At 45.2% G+C, this 27,492-nt stretch overlaps 1 protein-coding gene across 3 annotated transcripts in view; it reads left to right on the top strand.

Moving 5' to 3' along the window:
* The window catches only part of SLCO3A1 (solute carrier organic anion transporter family member 3A1), a 318,728-nt gene that overhangs the window by 50,847 nt on the left and 240,389 nt on the right, over nucleotides 1-27,492 (top strand). For all 3 annotated transcript variants that reach the window (NR_135775.2, NM_001145044.1, NM_013272.4), the window contains exon 2: nucleotides 11,439-11,904. Coding sequence is in view for 2 of the 3 variants with exons in the window: in NM_001145044.1 (NP_001138516.1) it covers nucleotides 11,439-11,904 (466 nt within the window). In the remaining variant the exon portion in view is untranslated. The remainder of the gene's footprint in view (nucleotides 1-11,438; nucleotides 11,905-27,492) is intronic.

Here is a 27,492-nt window from a genome sequence, read left to right on the forward strand (position 1 = left end):
TGAAGCCAGTGAGGGTGTTTTGTGCCTGAGATACACTAAAATAGGAGTAGAAGGACACACAGGTCAATCAGAGCAGCAAGCTGGCAGAGGCAGGTCGGGGAAGGTGAGTTCTTATGGTTCGTGGTTGTTTTCTTCACTGCTCTGAAACTAAAATTGGACTTTGTTATTATTCTGGAAGCTTTTTAATGCTGCATATAGGAGGATGCTATTTTGTTCTGACCTGTGTTTATTCCATACCTGCATGCACAAGCTTTGGTAATCATATTATTTTATTAGCGTATTTATGGAGGTTCATTTCCAAGAGAGGATATAATTAGGTGGAAATTGGTTATCTTGATAGTTACAATTTAACCCTACCTCTCTGATGGTTTGCTCTTGAGGAATTTACATACAATGATTTTGTACCCTGACCTGGTAGAGATGGGTTGTAAGCAGTACAGTCCTATGGAATTACAAGTAGAATTTGAAGGCCAAGAGAAAAAGAAATGAGATGCTTACGCTCATCCCTAACATTCCACATCATTGCTCTCACATGGCTGCAGGCTTGGGTCTGAGATTCCTGGGAACCAAAGCAAACAGGGAAATACAGCTATAATCACATTATTTATAGACTTTGGTTGGGTGTAGCTAAGGTGAGAGAAACAGTAGAACTAGTTCCCAGGAGAAGCAGAGCTTTTGCTAGACCTTAATTTTAAAAATATCTCATATCTGCCTTAAACCAATGTTTCTGATAGTGTATATAGCTATCCCTTGGGATCTGTGGGATATCCAGAGCCCTCTGCAGATACCAAAATCTGAAGAAGCTCAAGTCAGTCAAAGAACATAGTATAGCATTGGACTTTAACTTATGCAATCCTCTCATACACTTTAAATCTTCTCTAGATTTCTTGTGATACCTAATGCAGTATAAATGGTTCTTATACTATTGGTTTTTAATTTAGTTATTTTGATTGCTGTGTTGTTATTTTTTTTATTTTTTTCCGGATATTTTGGATCCATGGTCGATCGAATCCCTGGATGGACCTGTGGAAATGGATGGCAGCCTGTATATATGTTTTCAAGGGATGCTTAGTTTTTTGTTTTTTTTTTAAGTTACGTGGTCAAGGGAGTTTCAGGAAATGCTACATAATATATATTTTGATGGATTTTTGACAGTAAATGTTACCATTTGGAAAACTTATAAAAGTCTTGTAAAGAAAACTATTTCTCTTTGTTCAACCCAGAGTTTTAAAAATTTCATATGACCTCAGAACTCTTTTTCCTCCTTATATAACTTTTAACAATAAGTAAACTTATCGTTATTTTTAGGGCAAGTTTGGTCACCAATTTGCTTGTGGCTGCCCCTGCTTAGCTGATAGGCCCATTAGCCTTCACCCCCAAGTCGGGCCACCTTGCTGACGCAGGGGCACAGTGCTTGGTCACTTGGGTGCTATGGGACCAGTGGGGTTGGGCGTCAATCCTGGCTCTGCACCTTAGCTGCGTGGCATCAATGGGATAGTTATCTTCTCTGGGCTCAGGTTCCTCATCTGTAGAATGGGATAGTAATATTTCTGCCTCATGGAATCATAGTGGAGAGTAAGTGTGTCAGAATACGTAAAGCGCTCCATACTGGACTTGGCATAAGTAATAACAAATGTTCAACATGATTGTATTTAATGATACCCCCATTCCAGAGCTTGCTAGACACTTGTCTCCTCAGTTACTAGGGGCTAACTAACTATGTGCTATTTCTTTGGGTACTGATTGTGTGTTTTTCTTTATTCCGGTAGAGAGAAACTTTATTCATCCTTTATGATAATTCCCTGTTTTCATAGTTGTTGTCTCCATGATACTGTGAGCTGGTTGAGGGCAGAGACCAGGTCTTATCGAACTTTGCCTATCCAGCCCCTGGCATGGTACAGCTTTGCAATAAAGGATTTTCAATGCATTTGACAGGAAGCCGGGGCCCTAGGGCATATAAAGAAGCCCAATTCAGTGAAAACAGTTCTGCATATAGCAGCGTGTGTGTGTGCATAAATCAAATGAGGGCCTTAGACTAAGATCTCTGTCTTGAGAATATGTCTGGTCCTCTGTACATTTTTGTTGAATGCTGAGGAAATCATTGAAATCATTATTCTTAAAATTTCTCTAATAAAAGAGCCCTGGCACCACAGAAGTTGGTGTGTTAAAGGTGTGAAACACAAACTATTAATAATAGTCTGATGCAAAAATATCTGGAAATGAATTGAAAGCTCCGATCCTGAGTGGTAGAAAATTCTATTAGTTGACTGTACCCAGGAGGGATGGAGAGTCTTTATTTTTCTATGATGGACCAAAGAGCTACAGAGAAAAATCAATGATGAGATTTATGAGTAGGAAGCAATTAAATTGAGTGTTTTTTTTTTTTTAAAGAGACAATCATGAAATGTTACATACCCTCAGAATGAATCAATGAACATAAAAATTCACTAAATGTAAGGAATAATAACATTTGCCTCAGTTTTACTTTAGGGCCATTTAGAGGAAAGAGTGGAAGAAAAGGGAGATGAGAGAAACTAAGAAATGGAGTATAGAGGAAACAGTAGCCTGAGGAAGGTGCAAATAGTGAAGTAGAGAAAAATGCAGGCGATGGCAGAGACGGAGTCTTAAAGGACAGACCAAGGAGGCCTTTCTTTTTCTGTTGTTTTCTTTGAGATGGAGTCTCACTCTGTTGCCCAGGCTGGAGTGCACTGGTGCGATCTCAGCTCACTGCACCTCTGCCACTGGGGTTCAAGCAATTCTCCTGCCTCAGCCTCCCGAGTAGCTGGGATTACAGGCACCCGCCACCAAGCCTGGCTAATTTTTGTATTTTTAGTAGAGATGGGGTTTCACCATGTTGTCCAGGCTGGTCTTGAACTGCTGACCTCAGGTGATTCTCCCACCTTGGCCTCCCAAAGTGCTAGGATTACAGGCATGAGCCACTGTGCCTGGCCCAAGGAGGCCTTTCTTTTTTTTCTATTTTTCTTTTTTGAGACAGAGTCTCACTCTGTCACCCAGGCTGGAGTGCAGTGGCATGATCTTGGCTCACTGCAGCCTTTGCCTCCCAGGCAGATTCTCCTGCCTCAGCCTCCTGAGTAGCTGGGATTACAAGCATGTGCCACCATGCCCAGCTAATTTTGTTTTTTACACTTTTAGTAGAGACGGGGTTTCACCATATTGGTCAGGCTGGTCTTGAACTCCTGACCTCAGGTGATCCACCCGTCTCGGCCTCCCAAAGTGCTGGGATTACAGGCGTGAGTCACCGTGCCCAGCTCCAATGAAGCCTTTCTAAGGAAAGCCAGGCCGACTCTCACTCGCAGACTAGGTGATCAGAGAGAACGATAGTGCCCCTATGAAAGACCCAGGTGTAGAGAGGGCAGTACAGAGGCCCAGAGAGAGAGAGCCAGCAGCTTTCATGATCCTGCTGCAAGGACGAGGAAAGCCACCACGCACAACCCCAGGCATAACTGTGACGTGCAGGTGTGCAGAGCCTTTCTCTCCCTCATTTGGACCCTGTGACAAAACTGTAAGGGGGGATTGTTATCTCCATGTTATAGAAGGGAAAGGAGAGTTGCAGGGGTGTTAAGTGCCTTGTCTCATATTACCCAGTTAATATGAAACTCAAAATCTCACACATTTTCCACTGTAATCCCCACCCCCACAACTTGCCCCCTAAAATGATGATGCTTTTGGTGTAGACTGGAGTTTAGAGTCTGTGTCTATGAGATTCTCCATATGATTCTTACTCTGCTTTTTAAAGAAAAATGGTTTTAAAATGGCCCCCATTTATATGTGAACATGATCCAAGCTAAATCATTCCACCAGAAATAAAACCTCATTGACTAAATGTCTCTTTTCCCTAGTCAGCACATGAGGTGGGTGTTCTCTTTGCCACCATAGCCATGACAAGAGGCTGATCCTGTGTCGTCTTCTGTTACTTGGTTCTGCAGATCTAGGATCCTGGAATTCACAAGTGAATGCATTTTGTGTGCCATTTCCCTAGAACTGTAAATGACTCACCCCAAGGAGCTGCTGTCTAGATGAGAAACAAAACCTCACACTATTGCTGCTGCTGCTTCATCATGGGGAAATGACTTCTGGGCTTAGGTGATTAAGTCTCTTTCTACCACTTTACTACAGGAAGACATGTCCTTGGCACATCAGACAGAACACTGAAGTTATCTTGCAAATTACTTTAATGGAATTAAAAAAAAAAAAAAAAAACTTGGCCGGGCACGGTGGCTCACGCCTGTAATCCCAGCACTTTGGGAGGCCGAGGTGGGCGGATCACCAGAGGTTAGGAGTTCAAGACCAGCCTGGCCAACATGGTGAAACCCCATCTCTACTAAAAATACAAAAATTAGCTGGGCGTGGTGGCGGGTGCCTGTAATCCCAGCTACTCAGGAGGCTGAGGCAGGAGAATTGCTTGAATCTGGGAGACAGAGGTTGCAGTGAGCCGAGGTCGCGCCATTGCACTCCAGCCTGCGCAACAGAGCGCGACTCTGTCTCAAACAAAACAAAACAAAACAAACAAACAAAGAAACCCAAAAAGCTTGCATTAAAATTGTGCCTGGAATGACTTTTCTGTTACAGCAACAGGAGTGCTTCATATACTTACCAATGGCCAGTGTTTGTATTGCCAGGCACGGGAATAGTGTGATTTCCCATGCTGAATTTATAGAGATCAGGGGTTTGGCATTCTACATGTGGCCTATGGACCAAATGTGGCCTGCTGCCTGTTTTTGTAAATAAAGTTTTATTGAAACACAGCCATTTCCATTTGTTCATATATTGTCCATGCATGCTGCTTTTGTGTTATGGTGGTAGAGTTGAGTAGCTGCTATGATGACCATATGGCCTAAATATCTACTGACTGGCTTTTTACAGAGAAAGTATGCCAGACCCTGTTCAGGAACCCCTGTTGGGAAAACCACAGGTTTTTGCAGGACCACAGCGAGATTGACATCTCCTGCACTGTTTTTAGCATCTGCTCCCTGACATGGGCCCTGCTGCTGAGTGTGCAGTTTGAGGGTATAGGTTCCCCGAAGCTCCCCAGGAAGAGCCTGCTCAGTTCTGTCACATCTGCCACTACTCAGCAGAAGGACTTTAAAATGCAGGCTCTCCACACTGCACTCCCGGGCTCCTCCCAGCCTCATAGAGCATCCTGCTCTCACCCTTCACAAGCGCTCCAGACTGAGCCAGGTGAGACTCTCGCAGGGACCTTTCGGCTCCACCTTGTTTGTTCCATGCCTCCAATCAGCTGCTGCCTCTGTTGAGCTGGATCTCTAAGGTGGCTCTGCCACAGGGGCCTTTCCTTGCTGTTACACCAGCATTAGCCTGCTGAAGCCTCCTCTCTCCCCAGCACTGTGGAAACAGCTGCCCCGGCCGTCTCTCCTCCCTGATACCTGCACAGCAGTGCCAGGTTAATACTGCAGAAGAGCGGCTCCTGCTCAAGAACCTCCCTTCGCTCCCCATTGACCTCTAAATCAAAGCCTCAGTCTGGCCTTCAAGGTTGTTTTTATCTCAGACGACTACTCACAGTTCTCTGAAGCCACTCCATATTCCTGCCTTTCCCCAGGGGTGGTCTAAACTCTCCCTCTGCCAGCCTCCTTGACGCCACTGATCTTTGCTCTTGGAATGTTGTGGCAGCCTCTCCCCTCCCACAGCTATTAAAATCTAATTGATCTTTGTTGCATCCCAGGTATATATTCCTCCACACACAGCCAAATGAATGTTGTTGCTCCCTCAAACCCTCTGCCACTCTGTTACCCTGTTGCAGGCTGTACCATTGTTAGATTGTTTCTTTCTGCTGTCCCCAGACTGTAAACTCCTACAAGGCAGCATGCTCTCTTAATCATGGTTATGTTTCTTGCATCTATCACAGAGCAGGCACTTGGCTGTGTGGGACTGAATTTGAAGTGAAGTCACAGAGCATGCACACCAGTGATGTGGCTAGCTTTTTAGTGTGCACCTACTGTGGGCCAGCTGCTCTGATGTATGACTTCATTAATGTCCGCAGAAGCAAGTATTGTTCTCTCCACCACACAGGTGTGGAAACAGGCTCAGGAAGATTGACTTGACCAAATGCTGTCAAAGCCAGATGGGAACTCGAGGCTCTCCTGCTCCAGACTTACACTGATAGGACCAGGCTGCTCTGGTGTAAACATCCATGCATGCACAACCTCTCTGCCACCTGATACACATGCACACGCCTCTACCTGCATGCATGTTAGAGTCACCCAGGGAACTCTGAAAATACAGATGCCCAGTCTTGCAGGTGGGAGGACACGCACAGGTGTTTTTCAAAAGCTCAGGTGATGCCAGTTCAGGCCAAGGCCCCGCCACCCAGACCAGAGTGAGAAGATGGACACACCTCTGGGAGAGCCCCTGAGTTGCTGCTGCCTGCCCCTAAGAATAAGTGTTTTTTTGTTAAGTGAATGCCTGATAACCTTGCCCCTGGTTGGCACCTTTTGAAGGTGAGGATGGGCTCATGAATACTTGGCCGTGGCCTCTGAATGTGTCCTGTCCTATGGCAACATAGACTGAAGCTCTCCCTTTTGGGCTAAGTGCTGATAGTTTCAGTTGGCCTTAGTGTGACTTCAGCACTTTCCAGAAGGTGAGGCTCCCAGAAATGCATCCCAACATTTCCCACATGAGGAGACAGTGTCTCTATGAACTGGAAATGAGGAGGCGATAATTTCAATTTGTAGATAACTTAAACTCTTTCATCTTTTGAATGGGGGAAGGCTAGTTGAGAAGAGGAAGCTGAGTAAAGCAGAGGTACTCAAAGTGGGGTCCTCTGATGAGCAGCATCAGTGTCACCAGGTAGCTTGTTAGAAACGCATAGTCTAGACCCCACCCCAGACCTGCAAAATCAAAGACTCTGGGCTTGGGGTTCAGCAGTCTCACACTCTCTGGGGGTAATTTTACTGCCAATGAAGGTTGAGAACCTTGGTTCTAGAATGATGGTGAGTATGTGCCTGGTGCCTGAATGGTCAGTGGTCCTCATCTCCAGCTGGGTATCAGACGCATATCTATATCTATCTATATATATACGTATCTATATCTATATAGATATTTAGATTTTTTTTTTGAGACGGAGTCTTGCTTTGTCACCAAGGCTGGAGTGCAGTGGCGCAGTCTTGGCTCACTGCAACCTCTGCCTCCCGGGTTCAAGCAGTTCTCCTGCCTCAGCCTCCAGAGGAGCTGGGACTACAGGCATGTGCCACCACGTCCAGCTAATTTTTGTATTTTTAGTAGAGATGGGGTTTCACCATGTTGGCCAGGATAGTCTCGATCTCTTGACCTTGTGATCCGCCTGCCTCAGCCTCCCAAAGTGCTGGGATTACAGTCGTGAGCCACTGCGCCCGGCCGGGACATCTATATTTTTAACAATTGCCCCAGGACATTCTGAAATGCAAGCTGATTTTTTTTTTTTGAATAATCATTGTAGAAGCCTGATACATACTGCATACTTTACATAATAACTTCATATACACTTGGTTCAGGATAAGGACGCTTCCTCTTTCCTTTTCCTCTTGCAGTTATGGCTCCTTCTTCTCTAATTATCAAGACCTTCTCCATTAGTCCTGTTACCCATTAAGTAAAGGCAGTCATTCCCTTCCACATGCTCTTCCTCAGGCTGGGTTGTTCACTGCCACATAAAGGCTACAAGTGGGTTTTATGGCCTCATGCATACTTAGTCTGTCTTCTCAAAATTGTGTTTTAAATGAGTGAAAACATTAGCCTCTGATCTAATTGATCCACAAAGCATCATTTCAGAATCTTTGCATGACTTCCCAGACTGGCATTGCAGCCCAGCAGAAGGCCACAGGTCAAGGAGGGAAAGACCGTACTACTTCCTGTCACCCCTGTGCGTTGCTCTGCAAAGAGCAGGTGGGAGCCAGGACAAGAGCTGCAGGCACGGGCGTTATCTGTCTCTAAAAGAACTGATTATTTTTTGTTTTGCCCACAGCTGTCTCTGTCCCAATCACCCTTATCTGTCATCAATGTGCACACCTGCATGATATTTTATGACACAGCACACCTGCTGAAATGGAGCAGTTGTCATGTTTCAGATTTGTTGTCTTGTGTGTATGTCATGAGGCATCATGGCAAAAATGAGATACAGCTTCTGTTCTCTCCCTTCCCCCTACTTTGTTACCCTCCAGCCTCATGGTGGGTCCTAAAGCTGAAGACCTACCAGACTGCTTCAGCCACCTCTCCGGGGGTGACTTTCTAGGGGACCCCACCCAGACATGTTCTTTTCCACTTCTGCATCCAGTCCCCTTTGGACCTCTCAAGACTCACACAAAGGCCTGGGCGAGGCTCCCCAAAGCCCCCTACCTCCCAGGTCTTTAGGCTGCCTTCCTTTTTGTTGCCACATTGCATCACCTATTATAAACCTCTGGTAAATCATTTATTCCATCATGTATGTATGTTTGTTTGTGTTGCGAAGGAAAGTAGTAAATAAATGAATTTGTTTTTACTTGCCCAGACCCTTCAGACAGAACTTCTTTGGCAGTATTTAAAAGCCATTTGAATGATGCCAGGACTAGCTAAACTTCGTTTCTGAACAGCGGCAAACACCTGGTGTTTTAAAAGTAACAGTCTAATCACATAACTAGGGCTGAGTGATCTGCAAGCTGGCCTTGACTTGTCTAGAAAGCACAATAGAAATAGGAGTTGGGATCAGAATGCCAGAGATAGAGGGTGTCACAGATGTCATAACCCTGCTCTGCAGAGCTTGCCGAAGGCCAGGGCTGAAAGAGAGACCCCCAATAATGGGTGTCATGGCCTTAGCCCCGCGCTGCTCACTGCCATTAGAATCACCTGGGAGCTTTGAAAGCGTCCTAGGGCCCCCAGGCCACTCCCCAGACCAGTTCAGTCAGAACCTCCCAGGTGGGACCAGGCCTCTCAAATTTTTAGTGCTCCCCGAGTGCCTCCAATCTGCAGGTAGGATTGAGAACCACTAGGCTCAAGGAGTTTGTTTAAATATGTGGGTTTGAAAATGAGGCTAAGAGGAATCACCTGGCTATAGCATTTTTTTGGTTTGTTTTTTTAGTAACGGGAAATTGAATAGAAGCATGCTAATTAGCACAGGCGTATGTTTATATGTGCATAGATACACGTATCTGGACACTGCAGAGGTTGTAGATGCATGGACGTTTACAACAGTGTCCATATTTGTAGATTTGGAGGAAGGTTAGATCCATATGACTCTCCTTTTTGACCTTTCCTTAGTAGACACACCCGGTTGGTCAGCAGATCCAGCTCATTCTCCCTGAAATAGAACTCTGCCCTAAAATGCTTCTTACATCTTTTCCTGTTCATTTCCATTGCCAGTGTGTTGACGTGGCCTTTTCTTCTCCCCTCTCTCAATATGGCCCAGCTGTCTTCACTGCTGGCCTTCTTCCACCCTCCATTCACCACACCTGGTGTGACCCCTACACTATTAAACCTTTGCTGTTCTCCGGTGTTCACAGATAAATGATAATGATAATGGTTATAGCTGACCCTTCCCTAGCATTTACATGTATGTGTTGTTGACTCTTGACACCAGCTCTATGAGGTAGCACTCTTATCCCCCTTTTACAGATGGGGAAACTAACGCGCAAAGTAACTTGGTCAAGGTCAGCCAGAGTCAGGATGGACCCAGGTGGTCTGGCCCTAGAGCCTCTGTTTTGCTGCCTCTCTCCATGCACTCCTGCCATGTAGGAAGGGAGAGGCTGCTCTGTGCTAACAGACTTTTCATCCATTATTTTTAATCTTCACATCCCTCCTGCTGATTAGATATTATGATTCCTGTTTTGTAGAATCCAGGCTGGGAGAGTTTGAGTAACATGACTGAGGACACAGAGCTAAGGAAATAATAACAGGGGTTCAAACCAGGTTTTCTTCCCTCCATGATCTGTATTGTGTCTACCTAATTGCTCGGGATTGTCTAAATTCACCCCTGTGGCATTTGTGGCTCCTTACAATTTGTCCTCACCCCACCTTTCCAACTATTTTCTTCCTTTTTTTTTTTTTTTTTTTGGAAGCAAGGTCTCGCTCTGTTGCCCAAACTGGAGTGCAGTGGTGTGATCTCAGCTCACTGCAACCGCCGCCTCCAGGGTTCAAGCAATTCTCCTGCCTCAGCCTTCCCTGAGTAGCTGGGATTATAGGTATGCACCACCACGCCTCGCTAAATTGTGTATTTTTAGTAGAGAAGGGGTTTTGCCATGTTGGCCAGGCTGGTCTCGAACTCCTGGCCTCAAGTGACCTGCCCACCTCGGCCTCCCAAAGTGTTGGGATTACAGGTGTGAGCCACTGCTCCCGGCCCCAGCTATTTTCTCTTCCATGATGAAATCATGCCACCTATCTTTGGCTCATGCTGTTCCTTTTGCCTGAAATGTTCTTCCCTACTCAGCGAGGACATCATTCAGCTGTCAGATCTCCCATGACAAGGACTCTTGTCTTGCTCACAGCACCCTGCGTGGAATTTGCACACAGCAGCAGAGGGTAGCCATCTCATTTTCTTACCACTTTAAGAAGCCCTGTAAGAATGCATCTCCTCATGGCCCCCTTGGTGTGAGGTCTGCATCACACATCTCACCTCCAGTCCCTTTGTGTTATTCTTAGGTACATGTTTACCTTCTTGCTAGATGGCTTCTTCAGGCCAGATGTCCTCTCTCCATCACTTTTCTCTTGTGTCTAGGGCATTGCCTGGCAAGCAGCAGATGTTCGGTATATGTTTAACAAACATAGGGCAGACAAGAATACAAAAAAACGGGGGAAATCATAATATTCAGTTGGAGGGTACTTGGCAGGGTCATAGTGCTTAGAACAGTCAGGGGTGTATTTACCTGATGGCCTCTGGGGAAATGTACACTGGAAATTTCCAGACGGAAGCAAAGAGCAAATGATTACCCCGCTGGGCTGATTTAGCTTGTGCATTTTGCCACTTGGGTTTTGTTAAGTTTGTTTTTATTTTGAGGTGGGGGATAGGCTTTGCTAACCTCCTGCGGAAAATCTCCTGGCTCCTCTGTCTTCCTGGCATGGACTTTATCCCTAGTATATATTTGGGAGTGTGTGCAAACCGCGCACTTCAGGACTTTTATAGGTTTTCATGGGCTGTCTGTGGTGGAGGTCTGTGGGGGTGGGGAATGCAGTGTTTCCGGAAGAGGGTAGAAGCTTTCAGGATGGAAACAGGTGCCAGAAAAAACATTGTTGCTACTGGGAAAGTGAATTCGTTAACTGAATTAGGGTTATGATACTAAATAAACGTCTTTCTGATTCGTCAGGTTAAAAGGCATTTACACAGCTGCCTTTTTGCACCTGGCACCGGAGGCCAGGTGGGAGGGTCCCGGGGGGGATGGGCAGAGCGCACTGTCAGGCGGGAAGGAGAGGCTTCCTGGGCATCTTCTTGGATTGGCTCTGACCTTTCTTCTTGCCCCCCTCAGGTGAGCGTCCTGACCACCCTGGAGCGTAGGTTCAACCTGCAGAGCGCTGACGTGGGTGTGATCGCTAGCAGCTTCGAGATCGGGAACCTGGCGCTCATCCTCTTCGTGAGCTACTTCGGGGCACGCGGGCACCGGCCGCGCCTGATCGGCTGCGGCGGCATCGTCATGGCGCTGGGCGCGCTGCTGTCGGCGCTGCCCGAGTTCCTGACCCACCAGTACAAGTACGAGGCGGGCGAGATCCGCTGGGGCGCCGAGGGCCGCGACGTCTGCGCAGCCAACGGCTCGGGCGGCGACGAGGGGCCCGACCCCGACCTCATCTGCCGCAACCGGACGGCTACCAACATGATGTACTTGCTGCTCATTGGGGCCCAGGTGCTCCTGGGCATCGGTGCTACCCCTGTGCAGCCCCTGGGCGTCTCCTACATCGACGACCACGTGCGGAGGAAGGACTCCTCGCTCTATATAGGTAGGAGCTGCCCCAGCCGTATTAGCAAGAGACCAGGGTGTGTTGACCATGGATAAAAGGTGGCCTGGTGGACTTTGATTTTGCCAGAGTACTGGTTCTCAGACTTGGCTGCACACCTAGTGTTCTTGAAAAATACTCATGCCTGGGGGTGCAACCTGGGCATTGAGACGTTTTTAAAAGTTCCCAGGTGATTCTTGTGAGCGGCCGAATTTGAGCTCCACGGGGCTAGACCACTAACACCGCTTCAGTGGGAAAACATGATCGGGAGGAGTTGTATGTTTATCTCTTCTTTTTGAGTGCGTATGTGGACTTTGGGCTTTCTGATATTAGCCACCAAGGTATACTTGGGGTCTACACATTGGAAACTCCAGCTTTGAAGAATCAGAATGATGTCCTGGTCATTGTCCTGTTGCAGCTCAAAAGGAGAGGTGATGGCTTTGCCAGCATTTGGCATCATTCGAAGTTGGTGACTTCCGGTAATTTTTTCAATAATGGAAGTATGCATGGGAATTGGGTATGTAGAGAGAAATAAGGTATTTGTGTTTTGAAAAGTTATTTTTCACGGTCAGAGTTTCTGATGTTTTATACTGGAAGGATGGAAACCACTTGTGCGTGGGGGTTAAGAATCATCTGAGTGGCAAGTTGTTTATTACGTGGCGGGCAGTGTTTTCAGTGGCTGCGGTGGGCTCTGTTGGATGGCAGCGTGCAAGGTGAGGGCTGGCCAGCCCCGCATCTCTATCCCTTGTTTACAAAGTATAATTCTGTCTCCTGCCAGCTGCTGGATTTTTCTGACATCCCCAGTCACTGAGTGCTAAGCTTTGAAAACATTACCTCTACCCAGGGAAGCTTTATGCCTCCCAAAAGCAATGTGCCTTGAGGTAGAAAGTTAATTATATTATGGAGTTTTAAGTGAAAATAGAATTTGAACTGGATTTGACATAAAGGTTCCTATCTGCCAGGCTTCAAGCTTGCTGAGATAGGATGGTTTGGAAGCAGGACACACCGAAATGCAGATTTTTCTCTGTGTCTTTCTGGCCCAGCTTTGGAGTAGACGCGTTTACTGAACACGGATGTTGCACGCGGATGTTCTGGCTGGCTGTGAGCAGGCTCTGGGCAGGAAAGATGGAAGGAATGCGCCTCTCCATTCAGAGGATGGAGCACCAGTGAGCCTAGTCACCAGCTACCTATGGAACAAAGGGGAAGAGAAAACGGCTCAGGCCAGAGATGGTTAGGGGTTTCCATTATTACCTGAGAGTGGTTATGGTGGAGGAAGGGAAACTAAGGTAATCATTTTTCTTTCATTGCCTTAAGTCTTGAGTGAAAGCCGCTCCACGTGAGTTTTTTGCACACCAGATCATGGACTACAGCATGTAGCCACAAAGGTCTCCTGAGGTCCACCCTCTGACTTGACTGATGTCACCCTAGGGCTCTGGGAGAGTTGTTTTCTGGTAGGAATAACAGGAAGTAGATCAATCAGAGCACAGGGAATGAAATGGGGAGTGAAAACCTGAATTGTTGTCTCTGCTGATAGAATCAAGTAGAAAAATTTCTCCCCAGAGTCACCCCTGAAGTCCTAACAGTGCTGTATCACTTCTGCCTGGGGCTTCCAGCCGTAGTCACTGAACCCTCTTCTGGAAGTGTCTCCTGATGAGTTAAGCTGTGCTGTTTCCCCACACTGGGTGAGGGTTGGTTTGAATGTGCCAAAAGCTTTATGGTGAGGAAGCACTTTGGTTTGGGACATGGGGGTGTGGGAGGTGGAGGCGTGGACAGTAGGGCTGATCATTTGAGGCAGAAGGCCTTCTTGAATTCTGAGGCCTTGTCTGTGGGATTTGCATTGAGTCTTTGGTAGGAAGAACTATTCAGCCAAATTTCTATTTGGTCACCCCATTCCTCTGTGATAAGTCTGAGTTGGGGGAGTGTCTCTTTGCATGACATACGAACATCTTGGTGGCTCTGTTACATATGGCCAGATTCCAAAACATCGTAGCCCATGCCATGGAGATGATAGTTCTGGGTTTCTCTGCACTGGTTTACATGGGTTTGTGTTTATCGGGATCAGGAGAGGACAAGTCTTTTGCATAGATTGGCCTCAATAGGGGGCCTTTTATTCCATATGTGGTTTATTCTCCAGGTATAATTTAAGATCATAGCATATGCAGAGTATAACTGGTTCATTTATTTATTGTATGAGCTATAAAAAAAGTGTTTGTGGTAGTGAGAATATTTCAGAGTTTATCTCCTCTAATATGGCACTAGTTCCTGAAGCCACTTAACTTTACTTCACAGTATTTGGGGTAGCCCACTGAACAGGATTGATATAAAATTCTGGCCTCTTAACTCCCTGAAGAGGAGGAAAGTCTCAAGGGACTGATGCTGGGACTGTAGGTGTAACTGTATATCCATCGGGGAGGAATAACATGTGTACCCCTGGTTCCAGCTCCTGCAGAGTTGGTCTAGAGAGGGGCCCACAACCAATTGTCTGGTCATATGCCTAAATCGTGACACTATAGTGGAGATTGAAAGGATTCTAAATATGGCATGTGTAAAACACCAGCTTGTTCTTGAGCTGAGCCTTCCCTTTGGGTGTCAGCAGGGAACAGAATGATCAACATGCACAGCTCAGGCTGCAGATCAGTGGTGATGACACCTGCCCCGGGTCACCCGCATTGTGGGTCACTAGATGGGTGCTGTTTGTACATCGGTGGCCGTGTCGTAGCTTCCACTACAACCCAGGGCAAAGTGAAGCATTCCATCTTGAATCAAGCCGATATTTTCCACTGAAATGACTTACTTGCTTTGGCCTCTTGTGGCTGAGCCGCTGCCAGATTCCTGGATTCCTGGATGGGCTATTCACAAGGGGCTCCTCTGGCTGGCACCATTCTTCAGCCCGTCCTTTCCAGTGTGGGAGGGAGCCAAGGGAGCTCATTACCAGGGGACAAAACTGGATGAATGGGGACTCGGCTCTGCTGGCAGGCTTTCACTGCGGCATCATGCGGCACCCGGACTCACAGTGCAGCCAGACGGTGACCCGTGGGTGGCACGTGGCACTCTTTGTTCCTAGAGTGACTACATGGGCGCAGTGGCAGTGGAGACCACTGGGCCCCTACTGAGGTCGGAGAATCCATTCTTTGGGAGTCTAGTCATGCCTCTAGCTCCATGTTGTGATCTTCCATTAGCCCAGTTTTCTTAGCTGTCCTTCTGTTTCTCTAAGTTCAGAACACAAGTCGTATTTGCTTTTTATGAAAGTGTAAGTAGGATGATGGAATGGGCTTACTGTGCCCTTTCATTAGGTTGCCCCCCTTTTTTTTTTCAAGGAGGAAAAGGTGAAATGGGAGTACTAAAGATTTCTCAATAACTTTATTCCTAGTTAAAAAGCATTACATGTTCACCGTTTACAATTTTGAATATGTAGAAAAAGAATAATTAGAGAATATTGTAGCTTTATGGTGTACACAATTCTATTCTCTCTTCTGCATTAGCATGCTTTTCTATGAAAATGTGTTCAAGATAAATGATGTTTTGTGTAATTTCATTTCTCTTACTATTTCATGAGCATTTGTTTGTTACTATTCTATGACATTGCTGCATATATAATCCCTTCTGAATATATACGACAATATTTAATACTTTCTATAGTTGGACATGGATTTTTAAAATATTTGCTGTTTTAAACAAAGCAGATAGGTAAACTGTGATTCCGAGAGGTTGAGTAACTTACCCAAGCTCATTTACCTGGATAGGGCTGGGCTGTGGGTCTGAAAGTGATGCTTATTTCAGGTATGTCTGGGATCTGCTCACGAGGCTGGGATGGGAGCTCAAGGGTGGTGCACGGTCCAGGGAGTCAGGTGCAAGCCAGGGCATTCCACGAGACAGCCCGAAGCCTCCTGGGCATACAAATTGCAGCAGGAGCCAGGAAGGTGGGAAGACAGCAGTGTGTCTGGAGTCCAAGGAGAGAGGTGCTGCTGAAATGGAGAATGAGTGTCAGAGCCAGAATGGAGTATTGGAGGTAGGATGGAGAGAGAGGAAGGTGGTCCTAGCTAACGGTTCAGGTCTGAGTTCTGTAAAGAGGTTGCACCCCTGTTTCATAGTGCTTTGAGCTGAGATGGCTGCAAATCAGACCTTAGACATCTGGGGCAGGAGCAACTGATCTGTTGCATCTTTCGCTCAGCTCTTTCCAGCAGTGTGGGCGCCATACCTTCACATGCCATTCATTCTGTTTTTTGAACCGCAGTAACCACTAGGAGGTTTTTTTAAGTGTTGTGTTAGAAATAGGCCACCTTACAACTTCCCATACCCTGGGTTCTGGTTATGCCCTCTGGATCTACCATGAATAATCCCTATCCCTCTTCCATATTTTGATGGCTCCCCAAATAGTTGAGCACTAACCTTTCATGGGTAGGCGGATGGTATCTAAAGCTTAGTTAGCTCTTCGGAGCTAAGACCTTTGCTCCATGCTTGATGGATTTCCTACCATACTTCCTTCTTAAGAGGGATGCCAAGGGCTGGGGAGCTCATTACCAGAGGACAAAACCAGATGAATGGGGGATGTGGGATATGGCGTTGTATTAGTTTGCTAGGGCTGCCCTAAGCAAACACCACAGACTGGGAGGCTTAAATGACAGAAGGATATTTTCTTATAGTTTTAGAGGCTGGAAGTCTAAGATTAAGGTGCCACAGGGTTGGCGTCCTCTGAGGTCTCATTCCTTGAATTTCAGATGGTTGCCTTCTACCTGTGTCCTCACGTGGTCTTCCCTCTGCATACACATCCCTGGTCTCTCTGTGTATCCAATTTACTCCTCTTACAAGGTCGCCAGTCACATTGGTTTAAACCCACCCATATTAGCTCATTTAACCTTAATTGCCTCTTTAAAGGATCTATCTCCAAATATAGTCAGTCACATGCTGATGTACTGGGGGTTAGGGCTTCAATATATGAATCTGGGGGAAGGAACACTATTCAGCCCATAACAGACACCAAAGAGATTAGTACCAAACCAAGACTACACTCCTGCCTCTTTGCCAAAAGTTTTCGGTAAGGAGCTGTATTGTAATTTTTCTCTCTAAGTACTTGAGGAATTGATGATATAGTTTTTTTTTTAAATAACTTTTAAAAATTACAGAATCACAAGTTGTGGCAAAATACAGGAAAGTCCCCTGTATCCTTCTTCCTGTTTCCCCTGCTGTTGATGTCATGGTAACTATCACACAGTAGCAAAACCAGGAAGTTAACATTGCTGTGATCCATAAAATTTATTCAGATTTCTCTTTTTTTTTTTTTTATTCTTTTTTGACATGAAGTCTCACTCTGTCACCCAGGCTGGAGCACAGTGGCGCCATCTTGGCTCACTGCTGCCTCTGCCTCCTGGGTTCAAGTGATTCTCGTGCCTCATCCTCCCGAGTAGCTGAGATTATAGGTGCCTGCCACCACACCCGGTTACTTTTTTTTTTGTATTTTTAGTAAAGACAGGGTTTCGTCATGTTGTCCAGGCTGCTCTCGAACTCCTGACCTCAAGTGCTCCGCCTGCCTCGGCCTCCCAGAGTGCTGGAATTACAGGCATGAGCCACTGCGCCCGGCCAAGATTTCTCCAGTTTTATATGTGCTCATTTGTGTGTCTGTGTATAGTTCTGTGCAATTGTATCAAATGTGGATGATGCAGTTTTAAGAATGCAGATTGGGATCAAGATGAAACCAGATAATTTTGAGTTGTGTGTGTTAGGCAGACACACGCGCGTGCACGCACACACACACACGGCACAGAGACAGGCTGGCAGATTCTCCTGAGGATGGATGTTCTGGAGAGAATGGGAGCTGGCCAGCGGAAAGGGGTTCTTTGAGAAGGGAGGCTTTGCTGTTTGCCTGAATACACAGAACAAGTGCTCTAACTCAGGAGGCACACGTATTAGACACAAAAATGTGTCACGTTTTCTTTGTTTATCACTTATCCTGAACCCCAGTGCAGCCCTCTGTGTTTCCGTTAATAATGCAAAGAGAATAATTCTCAGATTTCATCTGCCAAGTGTTTGATTAGTACGAAGGGCCCCCGAATACTGGCCAGCAACCAAAGAGAACCAAATTTCCTTTCAGAGCCCTGGGAGCAAAGAGTTATTTGCCTCTGATGAGTTTTTATTTTAACTTGACATTGGGTAAAATGTGTTTTAACTCTCCAAAGAACGTGGATTGGGTATGGATCAAATATACTGTGACTGAAGTTCATCTGAAAAAATAATTAAAAAGCCATCTCTCGTGGGAGCAAGCATTGCTCATTATATTCTTGCAACTTCATTGATATTGAAGTTTCCTTCGTTAATTTCTTTTTCTAAAATAAATGGCACTATAAAAGTGGTCAGTTTGTTTTGGCCATATTCCATTCCCTCTCCCCAGCTGCTGGTCGCATGCCATTTTCAGTGTGTTTGTAGCAGCCTGCTAGGAAACAGCCTGTGGCTCTTACCTGGTGCTTCCATATTGCCTGGGCTGATAGGTGTTTCTCATTCATTCGCAGCCACTCATAACTCATGCCCTGTGGTTCATGGCATCACCGCTGTGCCTGCTGCCTGGGTGACCTTTGGACAAGACTCTGTGGGCTCTGGAGCCCAACAGTCTTGAAATTGAAATCCTGGCCCCTCCACGACTCCTGGGTTTTGGATGAGTTTCCAATTGCCCTGAGACTTTTGCCTTTTCAGTAAAATGGTCTGGTCTACCTGGCCAGGCTTTCCATGAACGTCAGGTGTCCTGTACACGGTGGGGATCAGTAAATGCTGCCCTTTTCATCCTTATGGTCATAGCATCTCCATTTCCAGATGTAGAAATTAAGGCACAGATGGATACATGACTGAACTGTTTAAACGCAGGAGCAGATCTTTGGACAAGAGCCCTTGGAACCTGATTTTCAGCCTGGGATGTGATCCATCTTATAGAGCTGAGAATAGCAACCTCTTCAGTCCTGAATTAAACCAGCAGCGCTCTTCTTTTCCTGAAGACCCCCTCCAGTGGCTCATCTCAAAGTGCATGAAGTGCTAGCATTGCCCCAGGCAGGAGGAGAGCCAGTTTGTATTAATTTGGAGGCAGCCCAGAGTATGGCCATTGCCCCAGTGTGATGTATGGATTGGCTTTCTGGGTTCTAGCATGTCGCTTCTTAATTTGGAAGCATATTAGCTCAATTTTCTTTTAAATAACGTATTCTTATTTTAGTAACATTGAGAAAAACAGAAATGTAATAAGAAAACCTAAATAATATGTAATCCAGATACCTATAGAAAATTATTGTCAGTAGTTAGGTATATTTTATTCCAGCCTTTTTTCTTTGTATATCGTTTTGCTTAGTTAAAAACCATACTATAAATAAACCTGCTTTTTATCAGTTGGCATATTATAAAGTTTTTCCTGGGTCATAAACAATATACATCATTTTAGATAATTGCATATTATTTTGTCAATCTAGAAATGCTGGAATTTGCTAGTTGGGCATTTAGGTGATGAATGTCTCTGTGGCTTTAGCCTTGTCGACGTTGGCTGAAAACTTTAAAAGCTCAGGTTAGTTCAGATAGATTCAGTGTGAGCTGAAAGCCAGCCCCCTGGCCCTGCGGTGACTTTTTCCAAAAGATAAATGAGTGAGGCCAGGAGTGTCATGCAGACGGGCTTTGGGCCGGCTATGGGTGTTGGCATTCTTGTTTTGAAACCCCCTTCCACATCTGCTCAGGGGTCACAATCTTAAGTGCTGAAGGGGTGCAGCTGATGAATGAGAAAAGCAGACAGTGTGGAGCCTGGGGAGCTGGTCCTTGCCTCGTCCTTCACCATTTGTTGCCCTGTGGGAGTGCAAAGTTAGTGTTTCCAGATCTTCTGATTGTTAAGAGAGGCTGGAAATCCGTATTTTTCAAGAGGATTGAGTTGCCAACTCATTGAAATCTTCTCCAAGCCCTTTGCGAGTCAGCATTGGTTAGCATGTCTCGAACACATGGTAGCTCAAACACACACGGTAGCTTGCCATGGTGGCAATTTCAAATTGCATTCATTGATTTCAAAAGACCATCAATTTCAAATTGCATTCATCTTTTGAGTTGCAAATAAATAAAACACGAAAAAAGAAAAGAAAGGAAAGCTGTCGCACATTGTGAATGTCACAGCCAGAAAAAAAGTGTTCTTCGCTGTGGTTCTGAATGTTAGGGGTATTGGATTTGGAGGAAGAGGACAGGGGATCTTGCACGAACAGAGGACAACCTGGCAGGAGTGAGGGTAACACCACTGCTGAGCGGACCCACTCCTACTGACACCTTGCTTACTGCCTCACAATGATGGGGATTCCCAGGATTGGAAAGAAATGAAACCATTTTCCTAAGCCAGAGGAAGAAAAGCACGGTTCAAGGTTCCCCGAAGAGAGTATTGGGATGCAGAAACCAAAACCATTTGTGGCTGGTTGGGGCCTACAGATATTTACTGTGTGTGCAAGAGCATCTTTGTGAAGAAACTTTAGAACATAGCACTGAAGTGTTTGATAGGCAGGAAATAGGACCAGAGAGGCCCAGGATGACCTGAAGAAAGGTGAAAGTCCATGTGAGGGAATTTTCCTTCCAGAAGGATGTCAAAGAATACTGCTAGTTACTTCTTTACTCCGGCTTCCTTACTGCACCTGACTGGGGAAGGCACACCCATCTTATTTGCTTTTCAACTGTGGCACAGGTATTGTTCTTAAAAAAGATTTTGAGACATTTCCTCTAATAACATGCGTATTGTTTCTCTTCAGTTAAGACTGTTTACTTTTCTGAGAGAGAATAATCTTGGCTTCATTTTCTTTTTGTCCTTTTCACCTACAAGAAGCATTCTGTGAGAGCAGATGGCATGAACGGTTTGGTTTCTGTCGAGCATTGTGTTTTGCTATTGTTAACACTGGGATTTGAGGTTCATGGTCTTCCTCCTTAGTGGGAAGTAAGTTCTTCATTGCTAGATAATTTTTTAGTGTTAAAATGCCTCACAGAAGAGTCTCTTGTGAATATTTGCTTTTGTCTGTCTGTCCAGTACCTTGTTTTTTTTTTTTTTTTTTAACTAGGAAACTACCTCTCCCATCTTAGGTGGTTGCTGTGGGTTGCAGAAGTGGCCATGTGGTCAGTCCGGGCATGGTCAATTGTGACACAGAGAAGGTCTACAGTAGTCTACAGTGACAGGCCCCAGAAGTGGGCCAATCAGAGTCCACTGTGGGGCGAGAGAAGTGGACTGAGAGAAATGGACCATCTTCTCTTGTAGGACTGCTACTGAAAGAACTCTGAATACCCAGAGATTCCAGTGTCCATCATTGCTGCCACATGCAGAGAACTTGCCTAAGAATGAATGAACTTGCCTACAGAGAAAAGTAGACCAAGGAAAAGGGAGAGCAAAAGGGCTTCCTAGATCCAGCCGTGCTTGAAGCTAGCATCTAGCCCTTAGAATCCTAGTCACTTGAACACATAAATTATCCTTTCCAACATCTACAGCTGCCAGGTTTCTGCCTCATCAGGCTTGAGTGCCTGTCATGTCATAGGAGTTGGTCTGGATTGCTTCCCTCTTGAGGTATAACCAAGCATCTTTGAATAGGGATAGAGTCCAGGGGAAACTCAAGTAAGGCATTTGTTCTCTGCTCAAAGTGCTAGTTCTTTCACAGTACAAAGATTAACCACTCATGAGACTCTGAAGAACCCCTGACCCTATGCATAAAATGAAAGGGGCTAGCTTGAAAGCGTTGGCTTAGCTCTTCATTTCGTTATTTCAGAGGCATTGAAGTTACAGGACTTAGATGCCAAAAGGAGTATCCCCTCTCCACCTTTCTCCCTACCTATCAAAAACAAACAAAAGTATTTAAAAATAACCTGTTGGCAGGCTTTGTGCAGGAACAGTAAGTGTTTAATAGCACATTGCGTATGTGGGCAGGAGCATGTTGAGCATGCTCAGTTTATTCAATGGCTCGTTTATTGAATGGAAAAAATATAACCAATCCTGGCTCTTTTACTTGACTGCAATTGCCAAAGGTACCTTAACTCCCTCAAATGACTTCATATTGTCAGGAATGAATAAGCTAAATAAATGAGTATGTTCCATTCCCAGCGTGGCTTTGCCATTTCATTCCTGCCAAGCCGTGTGTGTGTGTGTGTGTGTGTGTGTGTGTGTGTGTGTGCGCGCGCGCACGCCCATGCTTATTTTAAACCACATAATAGACAAATATGAAGATACCAAAGCCTTGGGTGGCTAGTGGACACTCATCAAAATCGAGATGTATTTCTTTAGCGCTCAGATTCAAGAATCTGGCTTCAGAATGTCAGGAGTCATCGTTGGCTGCTTGAAGCTAAAGGTTCTTGGATGTGCCTTGCGGGAGTCGGGGCCATAACCTTTTCGAATTATGTGGAGATTTACGTGTATATGTACCCTGGGAGGAAAGCTTTGACTGGATTGAATGAGGTTCATGACCCACAGAAGGTTAAAACCATATAAAGACCTAATGTTAGACTTTGGTGACAGGCATTTTGGGGTGAGATAAGTCTAGCTAGTTGAGGTGAGATAGGCTGTATGGAGTGACAGATGGCATTTAGAGACTGGAATGTTGTTCACTGTTCAGCTCTTAGCTTGTTTTGCTCCCTGGAGAGCCACTGTACTTACAACAGGAAGCATATAAGCATCACTTAGGCAACTGTGGTGAAAAGTCAGAATGCATTCTCAGCGGCATTGGAGACACCCCTCGGCCCTCCACTCCCCCGAAAATTCCTTTGGGGCTGAAATTTTCCATCCCTTCTTTCAGCCTAACCGTGGGTGTTTTGGGTAATATTCAGCAGATTTTCTGTGCTGGTTTGAACTGATGCACAGATAGGAAAATCAAAACTTTTTTTTTTTTAGTTCTAAAAGCAAAAACACTTTAAAATGGCACTTGGATCATTAATAGAATCTGAACTCTCAAAGTCAAAATTTTCCATGTGTTCTTACTAAGAAAAAGACTCACTGTTGGGGCAATTAAAAACAAAGGCAGAAAGTTGTGAGGGACTAAACAATTCTGGGGACATGAATGAACTGGCCAAACTTTTTATTGGCAAACCTTTTATGGGATAGTTGGTGCATTTGAGAAACCCTCTATTTTATACCACGGCCTCCTATTTCGGGTGTCGGGGGACTGAGGGAGGATTGGCGTTGCACTCATTCTGATGGCTCTCCAAGGAGAGATACTTTTCTCCCTTTCTCTCTGTAATGTTCCAAGCAAGTGGGGCCAATGGGTGTGATTTCTCCCTGCTTCCCTTTCTGGGCAAGATGCTATTACCATAAGAACATTCACGTTTGCCCACCTGCCTTGTGGGTTGTTAATGGAGTTTACAAAGGGAATTTGGATTCTCAGCAAGAGGTCTCATTAACACAGCAAGGATCTAATAGATTCTAAAATTGCGTATGGACACTGGAACCTTTTGAAACCTGGTGGTGTCTATTATTAGATCTAAATCATTTCGCCAACCCTGGCCTCAGGCTGTACATTTGTATCATGGGGCAAAGAGCCTTCTCTTCATCAAGGTAGATCTACCATATTGATTGAAGAACATGTTAATACCTGTGATTCTGGTGACAAGACAAGGTAAAAAGGCTATTAGGCAGTACATAGAGGAAAATGTCTCCCACATTGGTGCTTTTATTTTATTTTTAAATATCAGCCTTGTTACTGGTTGTGTGTTTAATACTAGGATTCATTACTATCATAAAGAGAGTTTAACAGCTGTCTGCTTATTTAGACAAGTGCGTTAAGCACAGGTGAGTTTGAATAGTGACCATAATACCGCTGAATACACTAGCTCCCATTTATGGGGTCGCAGCTGTTATGACATACAGACAACCAGTATTTTGCATATACTCTCTCACTCCCTCCTCATAAAGCCCAAGGAGATAGAGGCTGTTATTCTTTCTGTGTAGGTAAAGGAGCTAAAGTTCATGGGGCTTAAGCAGCTTGTTCAGGGTCATATGGTTAGTGAGTGGCACGGCCCAAGCTACAGTCCGGTCTGGTCTCCGTTATCCCAAGGGCCTTATCTTTCCCATCGTATGCTACCCCTCCACCATCCCCAGGCATGATTACATCCACACCAGGATAATATAGGACCCCAAGAATGTCACACTAAGTATGAAAAGTGACTCAACCCAACTACCTAAATAGGTATACAGCTCTTTCTCAGTATAGTACCCACCTGCGGTGCTTTGTCATTTTAGCTGTAAAGTATGAAATGGTGAGGCGTTTCTAGGCCAGGAGACGTCTGATGGGTCTGGGGTATTCAGGGCCTAGTTCTGTGGGAATTTTAAAAACTCTCATCAGATAAAGCATTGCTCCCACAAAAAAATCATGTGAGTTGTTTTCAAAATCTCCTTGTAGTAAAGTGAGAGAAGCTCACTCACCAGACGGTTTTGTTTACACTTCAGGCCTGGCAGCATTTAATTGGTATACATTCACTGCACTTATGCAACTTGGACTTGAGTGTTTCACTCCCAGACTTGATGAAGCTGACTTGCTTTTCTGAGCGAGTCAGGAGTGATTTTAAAACATACTAGACGCCAGCGGGGACAAAAATGGTAAGAAGGTAGGGCAAGAAAGACTTCATGGATCATGGATGAATACATGAGAAAGAACAAGAAGTAGAGATAATGTAATCCCCAAGACCTTTCCTCATGGGGAAATAATCAGCATGAGCAGTTATTGAGCTCTGTGGTGTTCTGAAGACCCTCAGGAGTGGCGTGTCCACATACATGAACTGTGTTTGCAGAAGAAGGTGGTTACACGATGGATGGATTGGGAGTGGCAAAGGCAGGCCTCCTTAAGGCATCCTCAAGGATTTGACGTCCAAGTAGGTGAACTCTCTTCCAACTCTATGTCCTGAAGCCACATTTTCCCGAAGTCATTGAGATAGCGTTTTGGTGACCTTCAGAAAAAATGACAGTCTCTTACTGGTCCATCTTGGGGAGTGAAGAGAGGGTCTGGAGATTAAATTGGGTGAGGGACCACGTGTTCCATGTTGGAGCATTGGTGCAAAGTTGGGAGACTCAGCTCCTCCAGCTTATGATGACAGGTTCATATTTCCAGTCTTTTTTTAATTAAAAAAGTTGTAAATTTTGGTAAAATATTCATACAGGTCACCATCTTAACCATTTTCAGCTGTACAGTTTGATAGTGTTAAGCACATTCACATTGTTGTGCAACAGATGTCCAGAACATTTTCATCTTGCAAAACTGAAATTACCTCTTCAACAACAACTCCCATTCCACCCCCTCTCCAGGCCCTGGCAACCACCATTCTACTTTCTGTCTCTATGAATTTGACTACTCTAAGTGCCTCAGATAAGATCGTAGAGTATCTGTCTTTTGTGACTGGTTTATTTCACGTAGCAGGTTGCTCTCAAGGTTCATCCATGTTGCAGCATTGGGTCAGAATTTCCTTCCTATGTATATTATATACCAAATATTCCACTCTATGCTTAAAACATATTTTGTTTGTCCATTCATCTATGAATGGACATTTGGGTTGTTTCCACCTCTTGGCTATTGTGAATAATGCTGCTGTGAACATGGGTGTGCCATGTATTTTCAGCCTTATAAAAGTATATCTCCATCTGGGTATCCTAAGGTGTGTTAAACTCAGTAAATCCATAATTCATCTCTTTAATTTTCTCCCAGGTTTGCCTTATTGACCAGCCTTGTCCTCCCCTCTCTCTTCCTGCATTTAAAAGCTCCAGCCTCTCATGGATCAGGGTTCCTGCACCTCTCTGATGTCTGGTCCCCAGCCTCCTCTACTCGTCCCCTCCCTGCCACAGGTCAGCTCTCAGCACCTCTCAACTGGACCACTGCATCTACCTCTGATGAGTTTCACTGTGCCCAATCCAGCCTGTCTCCAAGTTGTCCTTCACATTGCCACTGTTCCAAAGCAGGCTGTGAACTTTATGAACCCAGAGAGATGTGCGTTGTTCTGGAACCTTTGTTACAAAGGTTCCAAGAGCTCTGCATGGGATTTAATTTTATTTTGTTACATGCCCAATGAGTAATAACCATATGGTTATGTGTATTAATATAATGCATATGGTGAGATTATAGTATTGTATTTTTGAGACACTTAAAATAACCTGACTCCATTTTAACAGAGGTGTTAAATTTAATTGTCTACATTTTATTCATTCATTCAACACATATTAATTGATAACTTACGATGTGTCAGTCCCCGTACAAGGTGCTGGGGATACATGGATGAATCAGACCTAGCTTCTGTCTGTAGGAGTAATAATAAAATCACCCAATGTTTATTAAGCACTTATTGTGTGCCAGAGACTGGGCTAAGTTCTTGACATATATTATCTGGTGTAATTCTCAAAACAACCCCTGAGTTAGTTTTTATTTGCCGCGCTTTATGGGAGGAAATCCTGATGCAAAGAGCTTGAGTAAAGGGACACCTTGGGGATTGGAGTCAAGGGGGTTCTTGCTCCTCACAATATTCTCAACTACTGTGTTTTCCTGCTTCACAGCAAAGTGTACCAGCGAGTGTCATGCAAAAGCCAACAGTTTGAAACAGGAAGGGCAAAATGAAATGAAACACCAGGCTGATACATATGCATTTATAGATGTGGAGCTGGAAAATATTGACCAAATGTGCTCAGAAATATTTTACAATTGTGAATAATGACCAGTCCCTTGCAAGGAGACAGCCTTCCAAACCGTAGTTACTGTTAGAGAAAAGAAACAACATTCTGCATGTCCTCAAAGCAAGAGCTCACGTAAACTCGGTTTTTCATAGGTGTCAAATGCTGCTCCCTGATGCGATGCATTATGCAGGCAAAGAAATAACATGACAAAGCCTCTCTCACAGCCTCAGAAAGGAAGGTGATGTCTCCGAACTGGCCATCTGGATATAGCTAGGATGAAGCATTTTCAGAATTTGCCGAGGTTCACAGCTGAGGAGAGGGGCCAGTGGCATCCTCTGCTGTCAGGTAGCCCCTCCTCCTCTTCCTCTGTGAATGGGCAAACCCTGCTTCTTCTGCTGGGTTGTATCTTTTTTTTTTTTTTTGAGACAGAGTCTCGCTCTGTCACCCAGGCTGGAGTGCAATGGTGCGATCTTGGCTCACTGCAACCTCTGCCTCCCTGGTTCAAGCAGTTCCCCTGTCTCAGACTCCCAAGTAGCTGGGACTACAGGCTCACACCACTGCGTCGGGCTAATTTTTGTATTTTTGGTAGAGATGGGGTTTCACCATATTGGTCAGGCTGGTCTCCAGCTCTTGACCTCAGGTGATCCACCTGCCTCAGCCTCCCAAAGTGCTGGGATTATAGGAGTGAGCCACCGCGCCCGGCTGGTGTCTTAAGTGTGGAAACACACACACACGCACACACACACACACACACACTCACACAGGAGTAGATGAAGGGAAAAAACAGAGATTGCTATTCATCACACAAAAGCCAAGCATGTTCTTTTAAGAAATCACTGTTGCTGGAGACTTTTAGGCAAGTGATGTGAGCATTGAAGAGACTTTTAGTGTAAAATCAAGGTGGAAGATTAGGTTCAGTAGTTTGTAGTCTGCAGTGGTGACTGTCTTAGAAAGCTTTGGCTGGTAGGAAGCTCCATTGA

The sequence above is a fragment of the Homo sapiens genome, chromosome 15 (assembly GCF_000001405.40).
Source record: "Homo sapiens chromosome 15, GRCh38.p14 Primary Assembly".
Lineage (NCBI taxonomy): Eukaryota > Metazoa > Chordata > Mammalia > Primates > Hominidae > Homo > Homo sapiens.